Here is an 18,920-nt window from a genome sequence, read left to right as displayed (position 1 = left end):
CCAAAGAATATGTCCCAGGAAACAATTCAAGGGGCAATAGTAAACATGAAAAACTGAGCACGTGACATCAAGGAGATCTAAAAGTTTAAGCCATCAAGCACTAAAGATCAAATGCTTTATTTCATGATATAGAGAACACTGGACTGGCTTCAGGAGAATTAGGATCTGGTTGTAGCTTACCTGTCAAAGCTTACCTGTTACCCTCAGGTACATCACTTAACCTCTCTGGAACTAAGTTTCTTTGTCAATAAAATGAAATTGAACCATTGATAACTCAAAAAGTTTATGATTTTTTATTATTTATTTATTTATTTATTTTTTTGAGACAGAGTTTTGCTCTTGTTGCCGAGGCTGGAGTGCCGTGGCGCAATCTCAACTCACTGCAACCTCCACCTCCTGGGTTCAAGAGGTTCTCCTGCCTCAGCCTCCCGAGTAGCTGAATTACAGGTGCGCACCACCATGCCTGGCTAATTTTCTGTATTTTTAGTAGAGAAGGGGTTTCACCATGTTGGCCAGGCTGGTCTCAAACTCCTAACCTCAGGTGATCCACCCGCCTTGGCCTCCCAAAGTGCTGGGATTACAAGCGTGAGCCACCGTGCCCGGTCGAAAAAAAAGTTTATGATCTTAAGATAGTTCTTTAATTCACAAGACCCTGTCAATCCAAACTCCTGTATATCAAGATTTTATACATCTATTCATTCACTAACGGTATAATAAGGTTTACTGGTATATTTTGCCCCATAACAAATGGTTAGAGTCATCTTAAGAATCCTACAAGATTCCAAGTCCTTATTAATTTCTTGAGATAATTCTATTTAAAAATATTACTCAGAGATGAAGTAGGCTTACTGCCAATCCTAGATTTCAATAGCAGCTGCCTTCATAAGCTTTACAGTGTGCTTCTGAAGTGTTGCTGTATATTTCTGGCTTTCTTTATCATTTTTACACTGCTAAAATACTACAAAAGTAAAATTTCCTGTGATGGCCACAGTGAAGGAAATGACAGCTTACTCTTGCTCTTCAGTATTAATGCCTCCAAATATTATTATTATTATTATTATTATTATTATTATTATTATTATTATTTGAGAGGGAGTTTCACTCTTGTAGCCCAGGCTGGAATTCAATGGCGTGATCTCGGCTCACTGCAACCTCCGCCTCCCAGGTTCAAGCAATTCTCCTGCCTCAGCCTCCCCAGTAGCTGTGATTACAGGCGCCCACCACCATGCTTGGCTAATTTTTGTATTTTTAGTAGAGGTGGCGTTTCGCCATTTTGGTCAGGCTGGTCTCAAACTCCTGACCTCGGTTGATTCGCCCACCTCAGCCTCCCAAAGTGCTGGAATTACAGGCTGAAGCCACTGTGCCCGGCTGCCTCCAAGCATTATTTTTAAGAAACACTTTGGTTATTGGAGAATTCTAAATAATTCCCTTTACAAATATAATAACATAAATCAAATAGGGTATGCATTAACTAGCTCAATGAATTTCTCCCAGCTCTCTCTCTCCTGGGTTACTTTTTAACATATGTAGCATTTTTAATTTACCTTTCTGTTGTCACGATGGTCACTTATGATAAATTCCTTTATAAAAATTAATCTAACTTTTGCCTTTAAGGGTCTCCAAAAAACAATTTTAGTAAATAACTCAGTGGGTCTTAGGTTCATTTAGGTTCAGTCCTGAAATATATTAGAGTCTACAATTCCATTTTCAGTTTGGATAACATTAAAAAAAATAGGTAGTCAGGCACAGCTATTACTTTTTTCCCAGAAAATTGAACGTGTTTATACAAATACCTTTTGAAATCCAGCTTGATGCCTTTATTGCTTTTCATAACTTCAGTCAGCCACTCCTGTAGAGTATTATCACTGTTTGTTTCAGGGGGATGGGCCATAATTGGCTGGCTGTGTTCTGATCCATCACTTGGAAGAAGGACATCAGCCTCTATCATGTGAGCAGTACCTGTCCAAATAAAAGAACTTCAGTTAATGCTAAGAAAACAGGGCACAGAACTACAGGAGGCACCATGTTCAGTATCCTTTTGAGGAAGATAAAAAAAAAGGAAAGAAAAGTAACACTCAGTGAGCGATTATCCCATGCCAGGCAGTATACAAGGTCCGTACACATTCTCCCTATTTTTTAGATTAGCAAACAGATGTCAAGAAGTTAAATGACTTTCCCTAAGTTACACAGATCTTAAGCTGTTGACATACAAATTCTGAATTTCTTTCTAATACCAGCAAAGTACATACATAATGAAAGGCTTAATAAGTATTTGCTGAAGCTTTCTGGGAATAAAAATCGTACTTTTATCTTCTCACTCCTCAAATTAGAAATTATGGATATTCATTGCTCATGTTTGAAAATCTACATTAAAAATTCACTTCTTTGACTTACGGTTTAGTTACTGCTTAAAAGCATACATCCTTTGAACAGGTAAGGAGCTTCAGCAGACATGGTGTAAGTATGTTCAGCAGGCTGTGACAGACTGACTCCAAGATGGCTGCCAACAACTCCTCCAGGACATGCATACCGCTCTTCCCATCAACATCCTCTTCCCTGCCTCTTCAGCTGGGCAGGTCTTGTGATGGGTTGGGGCCGTAATTCCCCAAATGCCATAATCTCGAATTTTGAAATCCCAGAAAATCAAAATCCCTAAAGTCTAAAATCCCCAAAATCACAATCCCAAAAGATCAAAATCCTGAAAATATTGGAAAAAATAATTTTAAAAATTCTTTAAAATGCATTTACTTACATTTTTTTAAATTTCTTTTTTTTTTTTTTTAGAAACAGGGTCTTACCCTGTCATCCAGGCTGATGCAGTAGCAGCATTATACTTCACCGAAGCTTTGACCTCCTGAGCTCAAGCAATCCTCCCGCCTCAGCTTCCTGAGTAGCTAGGACTACAGGTGTGTGCCACCATGCCCAGCTGATTTTTTTAAAAAATATCTGTTGTAGAGACAGGGTCTCACTATGTTGCCCAGGCTGGTCGTGAACTCTTGGGCTCAAGTAATCTTGCTTTGGCCTCCTCAAGTGCTGGGATTACAGGCATGAGCCACTGTGCCAATCCTGTTCATTTTTAAAAGGGCATTTATTTGAGAAACCTATGAAAACATGGCAGAACACTTCAGAGGCCACTTTACACAATAAAATAGGCAATAATAACACACATTTTTGCAAGCATAAACACCCAGGTATATTAATCAGTTCAGAGATATAACATGAGCAAATGAACTGTAATCATAAAGAAATAGCTTAAATAACTGCAGTCATCTGAAATAACTTGATGAACAACCTAAGTCTTTTGACAAGATCAGTCAAAAACTGTGATGGGTTGCCATCATACACATAGTCACCCAAAGAACTGTGATCTTGAGAAATTTTATCTTTCACAAATGCAGATGTACAAATGGATATCTCTTCATTTCCTGTGAAAGTTTCAACGTTTTTATCAATAAGCGCAATGGTTACACACAAAGTCAATGTTGTGAAAATGCAGCTCTGTGGAGTCAAATTTGAAAAAAATGCATAAAACAAATTAGAACACTCTAAGAGTCTTTATACAATCTATACCTCCAATACCAGAAACAATGCAAAGATGAATTATGTAGCATAGTGAATTATAAAAAACAATGCTGACCATTTAAAATAGTGGAAATGGCCAAGCATGGTGGCTCACGCTTATAATCCTAGCACTTTGGGAGGCTGAGGCAGGCAGATCACCTGAGGTCAGGAGTTTGAGACCAACCTGGCCAACATGGAGAAACCCCGTATCCACTAAAAACTCAAAATTTAGCCAAGTGTGGTGGCAGGCGCCTGTAATCCCAGCTACTCAGGAGGCTGAGGCAGGAGAATCACTTGAACCCAGGAGGCGGAAGTTGCAGTGAGCTGAGATTGTGCCACTGCACTCCAGCCTGGCCAACAGAGCAAGACTCCTGTCTCAAAAAAAAATTTTTTTTAAAGATAAATAATAAAATAGTGGGCAAAAACGAAAAAGAAGCTTTGACACATGAAAAAAGTGGGATAGATGACAGGTAATCGCACAAGTGTACTCCATAAGAGGTGGCCAACCTGCACTGCAATAAATAGTTGCTTTCTTCTTTCCTTTTTTTTTTTTTTTTTTTTTTTTTGAGACAGAGTCTCACTCTATTGCAACCTGAAACTCTTGGGCTCCAGGGATCCTCCTGCCTCAGCCTCCTGAGTAGCCAGGACTACAAGCATGCACCACCACACCCTGCTAATTTTTCTAAATTTTTAGTAGAGATGAGGTCTCACTGTGTTGCCCAGGTTGGTCTCAAACTCCTGGACTCAAATGATTCTCTCACCTCTGCCTCTCAAAGTGCTAAGATTCCAGGTGAGAGCCACCACACCCGGCCACATTTTTTCTTTTAGGGCATGAGTCTCCTTGGAGGATACATTCAGATTCATTTTCTATGTGGCGCTGTTTTTTCTCAACTTCTTCTATGATTTGATATGCACCTGCATGAGTATTCCCTATTAAACTTTCCGATCTTCTGTGCCATGTTTCTATGCTGTTTTGGGTATGTGGAAATCCATTTCACATGCACTTATATGCAGATCACAAATTTGGTGGAAACAATACTGATGGTCAAACAGCAACTCCAGGGCATGTCTTCTTATCCGACCATGCACGTCATTATCTTCAAACCAGTCAGTAATTTCTCTGGCTTCTTCATGCAAATGCAGCTTTAATTTACTAAAAGCTCCTAGAATTTCATCAGCGGGAAGGAATGCCAATACAGATCCATAAGGCATTTTAAACTGAAGTTTTTGTCACTGCCATCTCACGTGACCAATCCACTCATCTGAGTTTTCTGTTAAAGGCATCAGGCTGAATGAAAAAGACAAACTTTACTGGTAACAACTTGAAATTCACTCTTATAAGCCTTGATTGCACCTAATTCTAAATCTATCATTATAGTTTGGGGATTCAATTAGATATTAAGGATTTTAGGCTATGGATTTTGATCTTTCAGCATTTCAACACTTGGGATATGGCATTTGGGATTGTGTCTTTTGGGATTATGATTGGCACCACTTGTGATCTGCTTTGACCAACAGAAGGTAGTGGAAATAAAACTGTCAGTTCTAGGCCTAGCCTTTAAAACTGCTGGCACCTTCAGTTTTCTTACTCTTGAAATCCAGCCACCATGTAAAGACATTCATGCAAGATTACCGAAGACTGAGAGACCACATAGAGAGAGAGAAGCCACGTGGAGGAGAACTAAGACTTCCTATCTGACAGAGAGCATTAAGGCCACTGACATATGAGTGAGGTCATTTTAGAATTTCCAGGCCCAGCTGGGCACCCAGCTGAATGCAGCTACATGAACGTCCTAAGCCCGTACTACATGCAACAGAACCACCAGCTGACCCATAAAATCATCAGAAAAAAATACAGCACTGCTATTTTAAGTCACTCATTTTTGGGTATTCTATTACACAGCAATAGATAAAAAGCAATAGGTAGCTGGAAGTGGAGTGTTGCCATATCAAAAACCTGAAACATGTGGCATTGGCTTTGTGACCTGGTGGAGGCTAAGAAAGGCAAGGAGGGAACTGTTCATGGAAGCTGGAAGAGCAGTGCAGAAATTCTTACTGGAAGCTTGAGAACAATAAGCTCATTTTATTGTTTTCCATAGTGGTAAAACTTCTGGCAACACTGTCACTGTAGCAACTGGTGGAAGATAGACAGGATACCCAGTGAACCTGTGTATTTGGCTAAAGAGGTTTCCAGGGGAAATGGTGAAAGTGGCAACTGGCTTCTTTTAACTGCTTATAATAAAGAATGAGAAGAAAGAGCTAAGCTAAATAATTAACGTTTCAGATTTTCAGCAGCATATAGAGAAAATATTTCCAAATCAGGACTTTCTGAATTTGAAAATAAAACTGTTTCTTATTCCTGTCCTCTCCAGCTGGCAAGAGATTCTCAAAGTAAGAGACAGTCTCGGGCCAAAATTTAAATCTAGGGTGTTGCCTGTCTTAGTCTGTGTTATACTGTGATGACAGAATAACACAGACTGGGTAATTTATAATAAACAGACATTTATTGGCTCACCATTCTGGAGGCTGGGAAATCCAATATCAAAGTGCTGATACTTAAAGAGGGCCTTCTCACTGCATTTTCATCTGGTGGAAGGCGGAGCGAGAGAACACCCACTTTCCAAAGTCCTTTAAATATGGCATTAAACCCACCCATGAAGGTGGACCCCTCATGGCCTAATCACCTCGCAGCAGTGTTACACTGGCAATTAAATTTCAACATGAAGCCAGAGTGGTGGCTTACTCCTGTAATCCCAGCACTTTGGGAGCCAGAGGCAGGAGGATCACTTGAGCATAGGAGTTCAAGACCAGCCTGGGCAACATAGCGAGACCTCATCTCTACTGGAAAAAAAAAAAAATTAGCCAGGCATGCTGGTGGCACACGCCTGTAGTCCCAGCTACTTAGAAGGCTGAGGAGGGAGAATCGCTTAAGCCTAAGAGGTCAAGGCTGTAGTGAGCTGTGATTGCGTCACTGCACTACGGCCTGGGTGACAGAGTGAGACGTTGTCTCTTAAAAAAAAAAATTTCAACATGAGTTTTGGATGGAACAAACATTCAAACCATAGCACCAGTAAAACATGGCCTCAGTGTCAATATCAAGCCAAGGGTACAACCATATGACCCTTTATTAAGCCCTCAGAAAGAAGGTGCCTCATGTAGCCACATAGCTAGATATGGAATCTTCTGGAATCTTAAGGGTGTTGTCCACTGCACCTTAACTTGCATACCAAAGTAGAGAGAGGTCTACCTCAAAGAGACGGGGGTGTGGCTTCTGATTAAATTTAATATATTAAAAGCCCACTATATTTTTAAGGGAGATATAACTACTTGGACACAAAAGGACAGAGATAGTTCAAAACGAAAAGAGGTCTGTGGGCTCCCAAATTTCTACAGGCAGGGAACAGGCTAAGAAAGCTACTCAGCTGCAAATATAAGCCAATTTCCAAAAAGCACACAAAGAGATGCTCACCAGCATTAGTCTTTAGGGGATGCAAATCTACACCACAATGAGATACCAATTCATATACACTTAGCTGGCTATAATTAAAAAAAAAAAGTACAATAACAAGTGTTGGCAAAGATGTGGAGAAACTAGAACCCTTATCCACACTGCTAGGAGGAATGTAAAAAGGAGCAGGCACTTTGGAAAAGTTTGGCAGTTCTTTAAAAAGTTAAACATATAGTTACCATGTGACCCAGGAATTCTACTCCTAGACATATAAGCAAGAGAACTGAAAACACATGTCTACAAAAACACCTGTATGTGAATGCTCATAGCAGCAGTAATCATAGTAGCAAAAAAGGGAAACAACCAATGTCTACCAGTTGATGAATGGATAAACAAAATGTGGTATATCTACATACAAAAATGATTCAGTCATAAAAAGGAATAAAGAACTGATACACACTAGAAAACAGCTGAACTTTGAAAACATACTAATTGAAGAAGCCAGTCACAAAAGGCCACATAGGAAGGTGCTTCCCTGAATTTTGATTCTGGAGTCAGGAAAAGTCTTTTTGAGGAAGTGACAATTCAGCCGATACCAAAGGATCAGCTTAAGGGGTTAGCAAGGCAGAGTGTGGGGAAAAGAGCTTTCCAGGAAAGAATGTGTGTGACAGCCCAAGGAGGAGGGAGCGTAGCCATGCAAGGCACTGCTGTGAGGCCAGTGTGGGAATTTCTAGGAATGTGAAAACACTGTGAAGGTGGACTTGGAGACACAGGCCAGTCTGTGCAGGCCCTTCAGGTTATTGAAGTAGTTTGAAGATGCCAATAAATAGCACCCCTTTCTCCAAATGGATCTGTTTTTTGTTTGTTTGTTTTGAGACAGAGTCTCGTTCTGTCGCCCAGGCTGGAATGCAGTGGCATGATCTCAGCTCACTGCAGCCTCTGTCTCCTGGGTTCAAGCAATTCTCCTGCCTGAGCCTCCCAAGTAGCTGGGATTACAGGCATGCACCACCATGCCCAGCTAATTTTTGTATTTTTAGTAGAGACGGGGTTTCTCCATGTTGCCCAGGCTGGTCTCAAACTCCTGGTCTCAAGCAATCCACCTGCCTTGGCCTCCCAAAGTGCTGGGATTATAGGCGTGAACCACCACACCTGGCCTCCAAGTGGATCTTGAGAAATAAAATAGCCAAGTTAAGTAGACAGGGATCAAAGTATACTTGTATTACCTCTAAAGCTAGGTCAGAGGACACAGCTTAGTTGAGAACTAAATAAGCCTGTGCCTGCTACCTGCTAACTGCCACAGTCACCCTCTAGTCCAAATCTTGGAACAGCCCCTTTGAAGCAAAGTTCTAACAAATACAAATATCCAGATGGCTGCTTCCCAGTGGAAGAGAAGAGCTCACTCCCTTGTCCAGCACATTTTTTTTTTTTTTTTTTTGAGATGGAGTCTCACCCTGTTACCCAGGCTGGAGTGCAGTGGCATGATCTTGGCTCACTGCAACCTCTGCTTCCTGGGTTCAAGCAATTCTCCTGCCTCAGCCTCCCAAATAGCTGGGACTACAGGCATGCACCACCATGCACAGCTAATTTTTGTATTTTTAGTAGAGACGGAGGTTCACCATGTTGGCCAGGCTGGTCTCGACCTCCCAAAGTGCTGGGAGTACAGGCGTGAGCCACCTTGCTTGGCCTAGTGCATTTGATAGATTAGCTCCACCCAGTCAAGAACTACAAATCAAAACAATCTCTCAACCTCTATGAGAGAAATAAACAGTGAGGCAAGAGGTCAAAGCCTTTAGGGAAAAAAATCTCTCCTCTTGGAAACCAGAGCAGTAGAACCAAACATGTTTCTATCTAGCAATTATATTAAAGATTTTAAATGGAACACCATTTGAGACCAATAAAGAGGCTTGATTTATGTTTAAATATACCACTTTGGATGCTGGGTGGAAAATAAAATAGACAGGGGCAAGTGTGGAAGCAGGGAAAATAATCTATCCAATTAGGATGGACTCATAGATCTACTGGATGCTTCTGGCGGCAAATAAATAGAAATTCAGATTCAAGCTAGTAGATTTATCATCTCAAATAACTAAAAGTCCAGGGGTCAGGTGAGCTTTAAGTGTGGTACAATCAGCAGCTCAGTGATGTTATTGTGATCTTTATGTCTCTTTTCTTCACTGTCCTTGGTGTCGTCTTCATCGTAAGGCTAATTTCATCTCATGATTTTAAGACAGCTACCAATAATCACTAGGGCTACATATTTTCATGTTCACATACTTCAATTTTAAGATATAAAACTTCTTTGGTAATTATAATTACTTTACTTGAGTCTAATTGAGCCCAGTTTGATCACTTGCCCACCATGGGAGCAATATGAATCATCAGGAAAACTTCAAGTGCTGATTAACTTATTGTAATGCACCCCTGGAGCTACAAATGGAACCAGTTTCCATATGCTTGTATGGAGCAGAAATGGATACCTTAATAAAAGTAAAGTTCTTGGCCGGGCGTGGTGGCTCACACCTGTAATCCCAGCACTTCGCGAGGCCAAGGCAGGCGGATCATGAGGTCAGGAGTTCGAGACCAGTCTGGCCAACACGGTGAAATCTCGTCTCTACAAAAAATACAAAAAATTAGCCGGGTGTGGTGGTGTGAGCCTGTAATCCCAGCTACTCGGGAGGCTGAAGCAGGAGAATCACGTGAATACAGGAGGCAGAGGTTGCAGTGAGCCGAGATTGTGCCATTTCCCTCCAGCCCAGATGACAGTGCGAGACTCTGTCTCAAAAAAAAAAAAAAAAAAAAAAAAATTCTTATAGGAAGAAAGAAAAGGGGACTGGTGATGTAGTAAGAACTCAATGGATGTGGCTGGGTGCGGTGGCTCACGCCTGTAATCCCAGCAAGTTAGGAGGCCGAGGCGGGCAGATCACGAGGTCAGGAGATCGAGACCATCCTGGCTAACACAGTGAAACCCCGTCTCTACTAAAAATACAAAAAATTAGCCAGGCGTGATGGCGGGTGCCTGCAGTCCCAGCTACTTGGGAGGCTGAGGCAGGAGAATGGTGTGAACCCAGGAGGCGGAGCTTGCAGTGAGCCGAGATCGTGCCACTGCACTCCAGCCTGGGTGACAGAGTGAGACTCTGTCTCAAAAAAGAAAAAAAAAAAGAACTCAATGGATGTTTGCTATGTCTCTCTTCTCTAAGCTATACCATATTTAGGATCTTTTAATTACAGTGAGGCAAAGCATAAAATAACAAAATGGCTGGGTGTGGTGCTCACACCTGTAATCCCAGCACTTTGGGAGGCTGAGGCAGGAGGACTGCTTGCAGCCAGGAGTTTGGGACCAGACTCTCTACAAAAAATAAAAATAAAGAAATAAACACCAAAACACCAAGACCAATCAAAGAGTTTTATACTCCTTTTATTCTCTATCAAATGCAATTCTAAGCAATGTCCAGGTACTATCCAAACAGCTTCCAGCCCTCTGCCAAAGGTGGAATTCTTCAACCATGTGAATAGTGCTGAGTCCTGATGTTTGTGTGGCTTATCTCGCCAGGGGGAGGGCAGATACAGAGAAGTTGTTCTTTCACCCTATGGCCAAACTTCTGCAAGGACAACAGGGCAAGTGAATTTGCAGAAAGATAGATGATCTAGTCTTTTATTATTTTCCCAGGATGAAGTTGGGGAAGGGGGTTGTAGGTCTCCTTTATCAGTGTGGTTATAAAGGGGCACAAAAGCTTGGAATCTTTCATTTAAGAGTGATAGTCTAATCCCAGCACTTTGGGAGGCCAAGGAGGGCAGATCAGGAGATCAGGAGATGGAGACCATCCTAGCCAACATGGTGAAACCCCATCTCTACTAAAAATACAAAAATTAGCTGGGCATGGTGGCACATGCCCATAGTCCCAGCTACTCAGAGGCTGAGGCAGGAGGATGGCTTGAACCCGGGAGGCAGAGGTTGCAGTGAGCATAGATCGTGCCACTGCACTCCAGCCTGGCGACAGATCAAGACTCCATCTCAAAAAAAAAAAAAAAAAAAAAAAAAGAGTAATAGTCGCAGTCTGCTAATTCCATTATTTCCAATAGATAGAAAAAAAATCAGTAAATGGGCAAGTTGAGGAGTCTCTGGGCCCATGTAAAGTATGTTCCTAAGGTCTCCTACATGAAAAAAAAGGGGGAACTACAGCAGTATGAGCAAGAAATCCTGGTGGCTTCTAGGATAATGATAAGAAAGATGGAAAGAAAGATGTGGACTAATTCAAAATGTATTTTGGAATAGAATCATAATGATTGGATATTAGATACAAGAATAAAGAAAGGAGCGAAAAAATGACTCCTAGATTTCTGGTTGAAACATCTAAGTAGATTGTGGTGCCATTTCCTGAGACAAGAAAGATCACAGGAAGTGCAGGTTAGTAAATATAGTCAAGAATCTCATTTCGGATAACGTAAATTTGAGACGCATGAGAGATCTCTAAGTGGAAACATCAATAAGCAGTTGGATGGACTAATATTAACAGTCCTAACAAGAGAGGGAGACCTGGCCTGGAGACACAGAAGATACAGAAGCTGCCCAGCCCCTCTCCCTAGTCTTCCATCCATAGCCTGTGGGTAGAAGACTTTTAAAAGTCAGGGCACACTTCTGCTTGGGAGACTGCATGGTTCTAATAGTCTCATATAACAGGGACAGCAAGAGGAGGAAGTCTGTATATCAAGGCATACGTTGCCTCACCCACAGGAGCTCCAGCTTGTGACCATGGCCAGACTTTGCCTTGCTTCATCAACTCCTGTTCAGCATAGCAAAAGTAACTTTTCACCATCCCCAGGCTATGATGGCAAAAGGGCTTTGTATATACTATTATTATACAAATTGTAAAATTTTTTAAGTTGTATTTCTAGATTTTCAGTTATTAGAAAAAAACAGAATTTATTTTCTATTTTGACCTTGAATCCTGAGATTTTCTTTTCTTTGCTTTCTTTCTTTTTTTTTGAGACAAGGTCCTCACTCTGTCACCTAGGTTGGAGTGCAATGGTGCAATCACAGCTCACTGCAGCCTCCAGCTCTTGGGCTCAATCGATCCTCCTGACTCAGCTTCCTGAGTAGCTGTGACTACAGGTACATGCCACCATGCCCGGCTAATTTTTCTATTTTTTGTAGAGACAGGGTCTCACTATGTTGCCTAAGCTGATCTTCAACTCCTGGGGTCAAATGATCCACCCAACTTGGCTTCCCAAAGTGCTGGGATTACAGGCATGAGCCACCGCCCTGACCACATCCTGAGATTTTCTAAGTTCACCTATTTATTATGATCATTTATCTATAGAATCTTTTTTGTTTTCTATAAACACAATCATACTGTCTGTGAATAAAGGTTTTATTTCTTCCTTTCCTATCATTTTTTTCATTTTTAAAAACTGAGACATAATTTACATACTATAAAATTCACCCTTTTAAAGTGAACCCTTTAGTGGTTTTTATTTAGCGTATTCAGAAGGTTATGTAACTATAACCACTCTCTAATTCTAGAAAAATTTCATCATCCAAAAAAGAAACCCTGTACTCATTAGCATTGACTCCTTACAGTTCCTGACAATCATTAAGCAACCATTTCCTGAGGCATCAATTTTGCTAAAATTCATTTACTAAATAATCACTGTGTAGTTATTATATGCTACGCACTGTTTCAGGCATTAAGGATTCAACATGAAACAAGACAAAATTCTTCCTTTTGAGGAGAAAAATACAATTTAAAACAGTGTTTTGACAATAAAAGAAGCTGAGATATATAATGAATTAGGATGCAAAAATGCATACACTTTTATAATAAAATATGGAATTTCAAGGTAATTTCTTGTTGGACCAGATACTGCAAGCTCTGCCCCGGCCCTGTAGTGATATGCTTTCTTTCTCCTTTCCTGCTGCAGCCAACATGAGCACTTTATAGGAAAAGGCTGAGAAACACTGCTATAATGTTCATCTGTATAATGAAGGGATATACATACAATGATTACAGGTTGAATCAGTAAACCAAAGACTTGATTTCTAGCTTAGGCATAAATATTGCCCAATTATTTATTAATTATAAATTGGTATACAATGCCTTCATCCATCCATTGAACAAATATTGAGTGGGTTTCTCATTAGTACATGATGAAAGACATAAAAATATGTAAGATACATGGTCCTGATCTTAAAAGTTTTACTCAAATCACTACATACATAAGAAAATATAATAATATATGAGAGTTTCGAATCAGACATAACAGGCAAATTGCTTCTAGAAAATAAGAAAATTCTTTCATTATGCAATTTGTCCATTTTGTAAACAAAATGAAACACTTTATAAAAATGTTCAGCCTGGTGTGATGGCTCACAGATTACCTGAGCCCAGGAGTTTGAGCCTGCAATGAGCTGTGATTACACCTTTGTTTTCCAGCCTGGGCAACAGAGAGAGACTATGTCTCTAAAAATGAATAAATAATAATTAAATAATAAATAAAAATAAATAAAATACTCATGTCAGCCTGGAACTTACACTTGGATCACCTGTCTCTAGTATCTGCAAATATACCTAGATATCAAAAAAGGAGTTGAATTAATCTATTATCCAAAGTAAATTACAAGTAACTGTACTGACTTACTTTTCAGTGCCTCATTTGTTTGTGCCTTGTGGTTAGCTGCATGATACCAGGTGATCTCAGCACCGTCTTCTGCTGTAATCTGGCTATTTCTCAGAAAATATTCCAGTATATTTTCACTCCAAGATCCTAAAATAACAGTGTTTACATGAAAAGTGATATTGTTTTTTATAGGGTAAAATTTTTAAAATCACTTTCATTGTGTATATTTAAGATACACATATGCTGTTATGTGATATATATATATAGATAGATAGATAGATAGTAAAAAGGTTACTATAATGAAGCAAATTAACATATCCATCATCTCACATATCTGTTTTCTCTGTGTGGCAAGAACAGCTAAAATCTCATTTAACACGAATCCCTTATATACAGTACAATTTTATTACCTGGAGTCCTCATGTTGCACATTAGATCTTGACTTGTTCATCTTTTTTTTTTTTTTTTTTTTTCAATTTGAGAGCAGGTACTGTTTACTAACTGACCAGCTTAGAAAAATAATCATGGTAGACATCTTATTTCATTCTTCTAGTAAGCCTGTTGATCTGGTCCTCCCTGTTGCCAGCATCTCCACCTTCTACAAAATGGGTGGTCTCTCGGCCGGGCGCGGTGGCTCACGCCTGTAATCCCAGCACTTTGGGAGGCTGAGGTGGGCGGATTACCTGAGGTCAGGAGTTGGAGAGCAGCCTGGCCAACATGGTGGAACCCTGTCTCTAACAAAAATAAAAAAAAAAAAATTAGCCAGGTGTGGTGGCACACGCCTGTAATCCCAGTTACTCCAGAGGCTGAGACAGGAGAATCGCTTGAACATGGGAGGCAGAGGTTGCAGTGAGCTGAGATCATGCCACTGCACTCCAGCCTGGGTGACAGAGTGAGACTCTGTCTCAAAAATAAAATAAAATAAAATAAAAATGGATGGTCTTTTTCTTCATTCCGCCTCATGGCGAAGATAATTTGAAGGGCCACAGCAAGTTATTTGCTTCTTTGAAGTGTTTTCCAACAGTATAGATCTCATGAATCAGATCCTCCATGCAGAGGATGCCATATTTACCAAGAGATGGAACAATCAAAGTGTTATCTGTTAAAGCAATTCGCTTCTTATTGATTTTGCCATAACCACGCTTGTAGATTAGTTCATTTACTGACTTCAGATTTGGGTACCCCCATGCTATATATGGCTCTACAATCCTCAGCATGTTAACTGAAGCCTGTTGAGCTTCACAAAGGTTCCACTGAAGATTTGATGAAGGCGAAGAAGCTGCAACACCTTTCGGACCTTTGGGCTCACACCACTGACACCTCTGATCCTGAGGACAAATGCCATTTTGGGTTCTGCAGGTACACAGAAGTTGCCAGCTTTTCTCGCCATCCTTGCCATTCAAAATTCAGTTCTGTATATCTGCCTATATTCCTTGTGACAGTGTTTTGCTTTTTCACAGATAAGCTTCCTCCTTGCCTTTCAAAGCATCTTTTGGGTAAACTTCTTTCTCAGGCACTTGATCTTCAGCTCTGCGAAATTCCCTTGCTTTTTCTTAAGGGTTTCTGGCACAGCAGGAACCTTCTCTTTCTCTTCTACACCCTCCATGGTTCCAGCCGGAAAAAGAGGCAACTTGCTCATCTTATATATCTGTTCTGTATGCTCTAACCTACATCTCCCCATTTCCTTTGCTTCCCCCTCCCCATAGCCATTGTTTTGTCATCTATTTCTGTTATATTTGATTTTTTTTTATTCCACATATAAGTGAGATCATACACTATTTTTCTTTCTGTGTCTGGCTTATTTCACTTAGCATAATGTCCTCCGGGCTCATCCATGATGTGGAAAATGGTAAGTTCTCATTCTTCTTTAGGGCTGAATAATATTCCATTTTATCTATGTACCACAGTTTGTTTATTCATTCATCTATCAACAAACACTTGTTGCTTCCATACCTTGGCCACTGTAAATAATGCTGCAATGAACATGGGAGTGCAGATATCTTTACAAAGTGGTGATTTCATTTCCTTTGGGTATGTGCCCGGAAAAGGGATTGCTGAGTTATAGAGTAAAAAAAAAAAAAAAAATTAACAAAGAACAGACAAGATATTGAGGGATAATAACAAAATAGTTAGGCTGGGAAAAATATAAGATTTTAAAAACAGAGAACAAGTATTATGATGTGGCAAGTATATAATATATATAAACATGTTATATATTATATAATGTAATAATTAGTAGACATATAGGATAGTCTGAACATCAGAAGCATAAGAATGCAGGAAGAAAACAAAACTAAAGCAGATATTTAAAAGCTGGAAATTTCATATGATGTTCTCTACAATGCTGGTCCAGAAATATAAGGAAAACTGATGTAAAGCCAAAGCTATATTTAAAATTCTAAGTTTTACACACTTAATTGTTTTCTCTACCTGAAACCCCATTCTATATTTATATTAACAATTTAATATTTAAATTGCATATCTTACTGCATATCTACCTTCAGATTATTCTCAGCAACATCTATATGAGTGAGCAAGTAATCTCTTGAATTAGCATTCATAAGTTTATCTAGCGTGTGCAATATACATAATTCTCATATCTTTCAACTACTTTTTGGTATAACATATTTTCTCTTGATTAAGCATTAAAACTTGTGAGTTAACCAAGACTAAGGTAAGTGGTAGCAAAAATATCTGAACCCAGATCTATTCCATACTATATCATAACATAAAAGAAGAAAATGCTGAAAAAAAGTTGTCCATAATTTTACCTCCCTAATCCTTGTTCATGCTTCAAACATTTATTAAGAGCCTAGCAAGTGCCTGCAAATTCCCCACGCATGAGATTCTTTCCTCTGTTAATTATTTGTTTGTTAACTCTGCCTAACTACAGTTAAAAACCTAAAACTACTTTTTTTTTTTTTTCCATCTGCCATCTGTGGTGGAGCTGCCACCAAAATGCAGATTTCGTAAAAACCCTTCCGGGGAAGACCACTACCCTCAAGGTTGAACCCTCGGACACAATAGAAAAGGTAAAGGCCAAAATCCAGGAATTCCTCCTGATCAGCAAAGACGGATCTCTGCTGGCAAGCAACTGGAAAATGGAGGTACTCTGTCTGACTACAACATTCAAAAGGAGTCTACTCTTCATCTTGGGTTGAGACTTTGTGGTGGTGCTAAGAAAAGGAAGAAGTCTTACACCACTCCCAAGAATAATAAACACAAGAGAAAGAAGATGAAGCTGGCTGTCCTGAAATACTATAAGGTGGAAGAGAATGGCAAAATTAGACACCTTTGTCGAGAGTGCCATTCAGATGGTGCTGGAGTGTTTATGGCAAGCTACTTTGACAGACATTATTGTGGCAAATGTTGTCTGACTTACTGCTTCAACAAACCAGAAGACAAGTAATTGTCTATGAGTTAATAAAAGACATGAGCTAACATCTTTTTTAAAAGCCCCCCAAAAAACCAAAAACCTTAAACCTAAAAATGGCTATCGGAAACTGCTGATAAGATATCAGAGAATGGAGGGGCATATAAAGACAAATTCTAACTAACATACATGGGACTTAGCAGTCACTTCTAACGCTGGGCTGCAGAATTTAAAAAAAAAAGGACAGTTAGGTGGAGGATCCACTATCCCCAAAGCAGTCTCTCACTGAAAACACGTGGCCCTATTTGGCATATATAATAGAGTCATAGACCTTTCATACTGAGATGGCAACACATGGCCATCATTCTTTAAAATATTAAGGTAGCCATTTTAGAAGGCACATTATTGATTGGCTATAACAAATGTCCAACAATAGGAAAATAATTAAATCACAGTACATATGCATGATAGAATATGTGACTAACGTGGCTGTTAAAAATGAAGGTTTTGAGATACACCAAATGATTTAGAGGACTGATAAGCATTACATTACCAGAAAAACCTAAATGTTGGTTAATGGTTCATATTGGATATTTCCACAGCACTTTTTATTTATTTATTTATTTTTTATTTAAGTTCTAGGGTACATGTGCACAACGTGCAGGTTTGTTACATATGTATACATGTGCCATGTTGGTGTGCTGCACCCATTAACTCGTCATTTACATTAGGTATATCTCCTCATGCTATCCCTCCCCCCTCCCCCTACCCCACGACAGGCCCTGGTGTGTGATGTTCCCCTTCCTTCCACAGCACTTTTCAACTAAACATACTGCATTCAGAATTTTTATAAAGGCAACTTACAGAGTAATAATAAAATACCAGGACTCTAGAATTTAAAAAAATTTAAAGTAAGAAGTTTTCCTTACCCTTTTACTAAGTGAAATTGTTAGTTTGTATTTAAGCCACGACTGTATATATCTTAAAACTTACAGAGGATCCAATTACCTATGATCTAAGGTCTTAGTATTATTATTTAAACAGGCTGTAACTCTGAAAACAGGGCCAAGAGAAAGGCAAAAATAGTTGTAACTTTTTTAAGATTGAGTTTTTGAGTAGTTTTTTTATTGTTTTTGTTTTTTTTTTTTTTTGAGCCGGAGTCTTGCTCTGTCACTCAGGCTGGAGTGCAGGGGCATGATCTCAGCTCACTGCAATCTCCGCCTCCTGTGTTCAAGCAATTCTTATGCTTCAGCCTTCTGAGCAGCTGAGATTACCATCACATCGGCTGCTTTTTGTATTTTTAGTAGAAATGGTGTTTCACCATGTTGGCCAGGTTGTTCTCAAACTCCTGGCCTCAAGCAATCTGCTGCCCTTGGCCTCCCAAAGTGCTGAGATTATAGGCGTGAGCCACCGTGCCTGGCCTTTTGAGCAGTTTTCATTTACAGAAAAAAATTAGGCTGGGCATGGTGGCTCACGCCTGTAATCCCAGCACTTTGGGAGGTCGAGGTGGGCAGATCATCTGAGGTCAGGAGTTCGAGACCAGCCTGGCCAATATGTTGAAACCCCTTCTCTACTAGAAATACAAAAATTAGCTGGGTGTGGTGGCTCACGTCTGTAGTCCCAGCTACTCAGGAGTCTGAGGCAGGGAAATAGCTCGAACCCAGGAGGTAGAGGTTGCAGTGAGCCAAGATCACACCACTGCACTCCGGCTTGGGTGACAGAGCAAGACTCCGTCTCAAAAAAAAAAAAAAAAAAAAAAAAAAAAATTAAGCAAAAAGAGCAAAGTTCCCATATCATCCCCACTCTTCCCTCGATTTCCCTGGTTTTGGCTGTTTTGGTAATTTAAAAATTGCTTTTATTTAAAGCTCCCCAATTTTTAACATCTTGCATTAGTGTGGTATGTCTGTTAGAATAGATGAGCCA

At 39.8% G+C, this 18,920-nt stretch overlaps 1 protein-coding gene and 2 pseudogenes across 9 annotated transcripts in view, besides 3 other annotated features; 1 reads left to right on the top strand and 2 right to left on the bottom strand.

Moving 5' to 3' along the window:
- FAM151B (family with sequence similarity 151 member B) overlaps nt 1–18,920 on the bottom strand; it is a 54,464-nt gene that overhangs the window by 27,001 nt on the left and 8,543 nt on the right. For 2 of the 9 annotated variants that reach the window (NM_205548.3, XM_011543234.3), the window contains exons 2-3: nt 13,646–13,771; nt 1,794–1,959 (exon numbers count right to left, since the gene is read on the bottom strand). In NM_205548.3, coding sequence (NP_991111.2) covers nt 1,794–1,959; nt 13,646–13,771 — 292 coding nt within the window. Of the gene's footprint in view, nt 1–1,793; nt 1,960–2,394; nt 2,699–2,798; nt 2,919–4,322; nt 4,850–9,486; nt 9,581–13,645; nt 13,772–14,034; nt 14,114–18,920 lie in introns of those variants that run through there. The other 7 variants (XM_006714564.4, XM_017009166.2, XM_017009167.2 and 4 more) reach the window with 7 other exon arrangements.
- Nucleotides 1,813–3,012: an enhancer, noted in NCBI's record as "MED14-independent group 3 enhancer chr5:79808370-79809569 (GRCh37/hg19 assembly coordinates)". NCBI's record gives its function as "activates an origin of replication core promoter dependent on BRD2, BRD4, P300/CBP and CDK7 cofactors, and independent of MED14, by STARR-seq in HCT116 cells {active_cell/tissue: HCT116}" and the evidence as "EXISTENCE:reporter gene assay evidence [ECO:0000049][PMID:35650434]".
- Nucleotides 7,952–8,452: an enhancer, noted in NCBI's record as "H3K27ac hESC enhancer chr5:79802930-79803430 (GRCh37/hg19 assembly coordinates)". NCBI's record gives its function as "activates a minimal SCP1, AML or CMV promoter by ChIP-STARR-seq in primed H9 embryonic stem cells {active_cell/tissue: H9 hESC(primed)}" and the evidence as "EXISTENCE:reporter gene assay evidence [ECO:0000049][PMID:30033119]".
- RPL7P24 (ribosomal protein L7 pseudogene 24) lies at nt 14,095–15,251 on the bottom strand (annotated as a pseudogene).
- Nucleotides 16,535–17,070, top strand: RPS27AP9 (RPS27A pseudogene 9; annotated as a pseudogene).
- Nucleotides 17,865–18,365: an enhancer, noted in NCBI's record as "H3K27ac hESC enhancer chr5:79793017-79793517 (GRCh37/hg19 assembly coordinates)". NCBI's record gives its function as "activates a minimal SCP1, AML or CMV promoter by ChIP-STARR-seq in primed H9 embryonic stem cells {active_cell/tissue: H9 hESC(primed)}" and the evidence as "EXISTENCE:reporter gene assay evidence [ECO:0000049][PMID:30033119]".

This window comes from Homo sapiens, chromosome 5, assembly GCF_000001405.40.
Source record: "Homo sapiens chromosome 5, GRCh38.p14 Primary Assembly".
NCBI lineage: Eukaryota > Metazoa > Chordata > Mammalia > Primates > Hominidae > Homo > Homo sapiens.
Note: the sequence above shows the minus strand (reverse complement) of the source record. Positions and strands in the feature narration are given on the sequence as shown.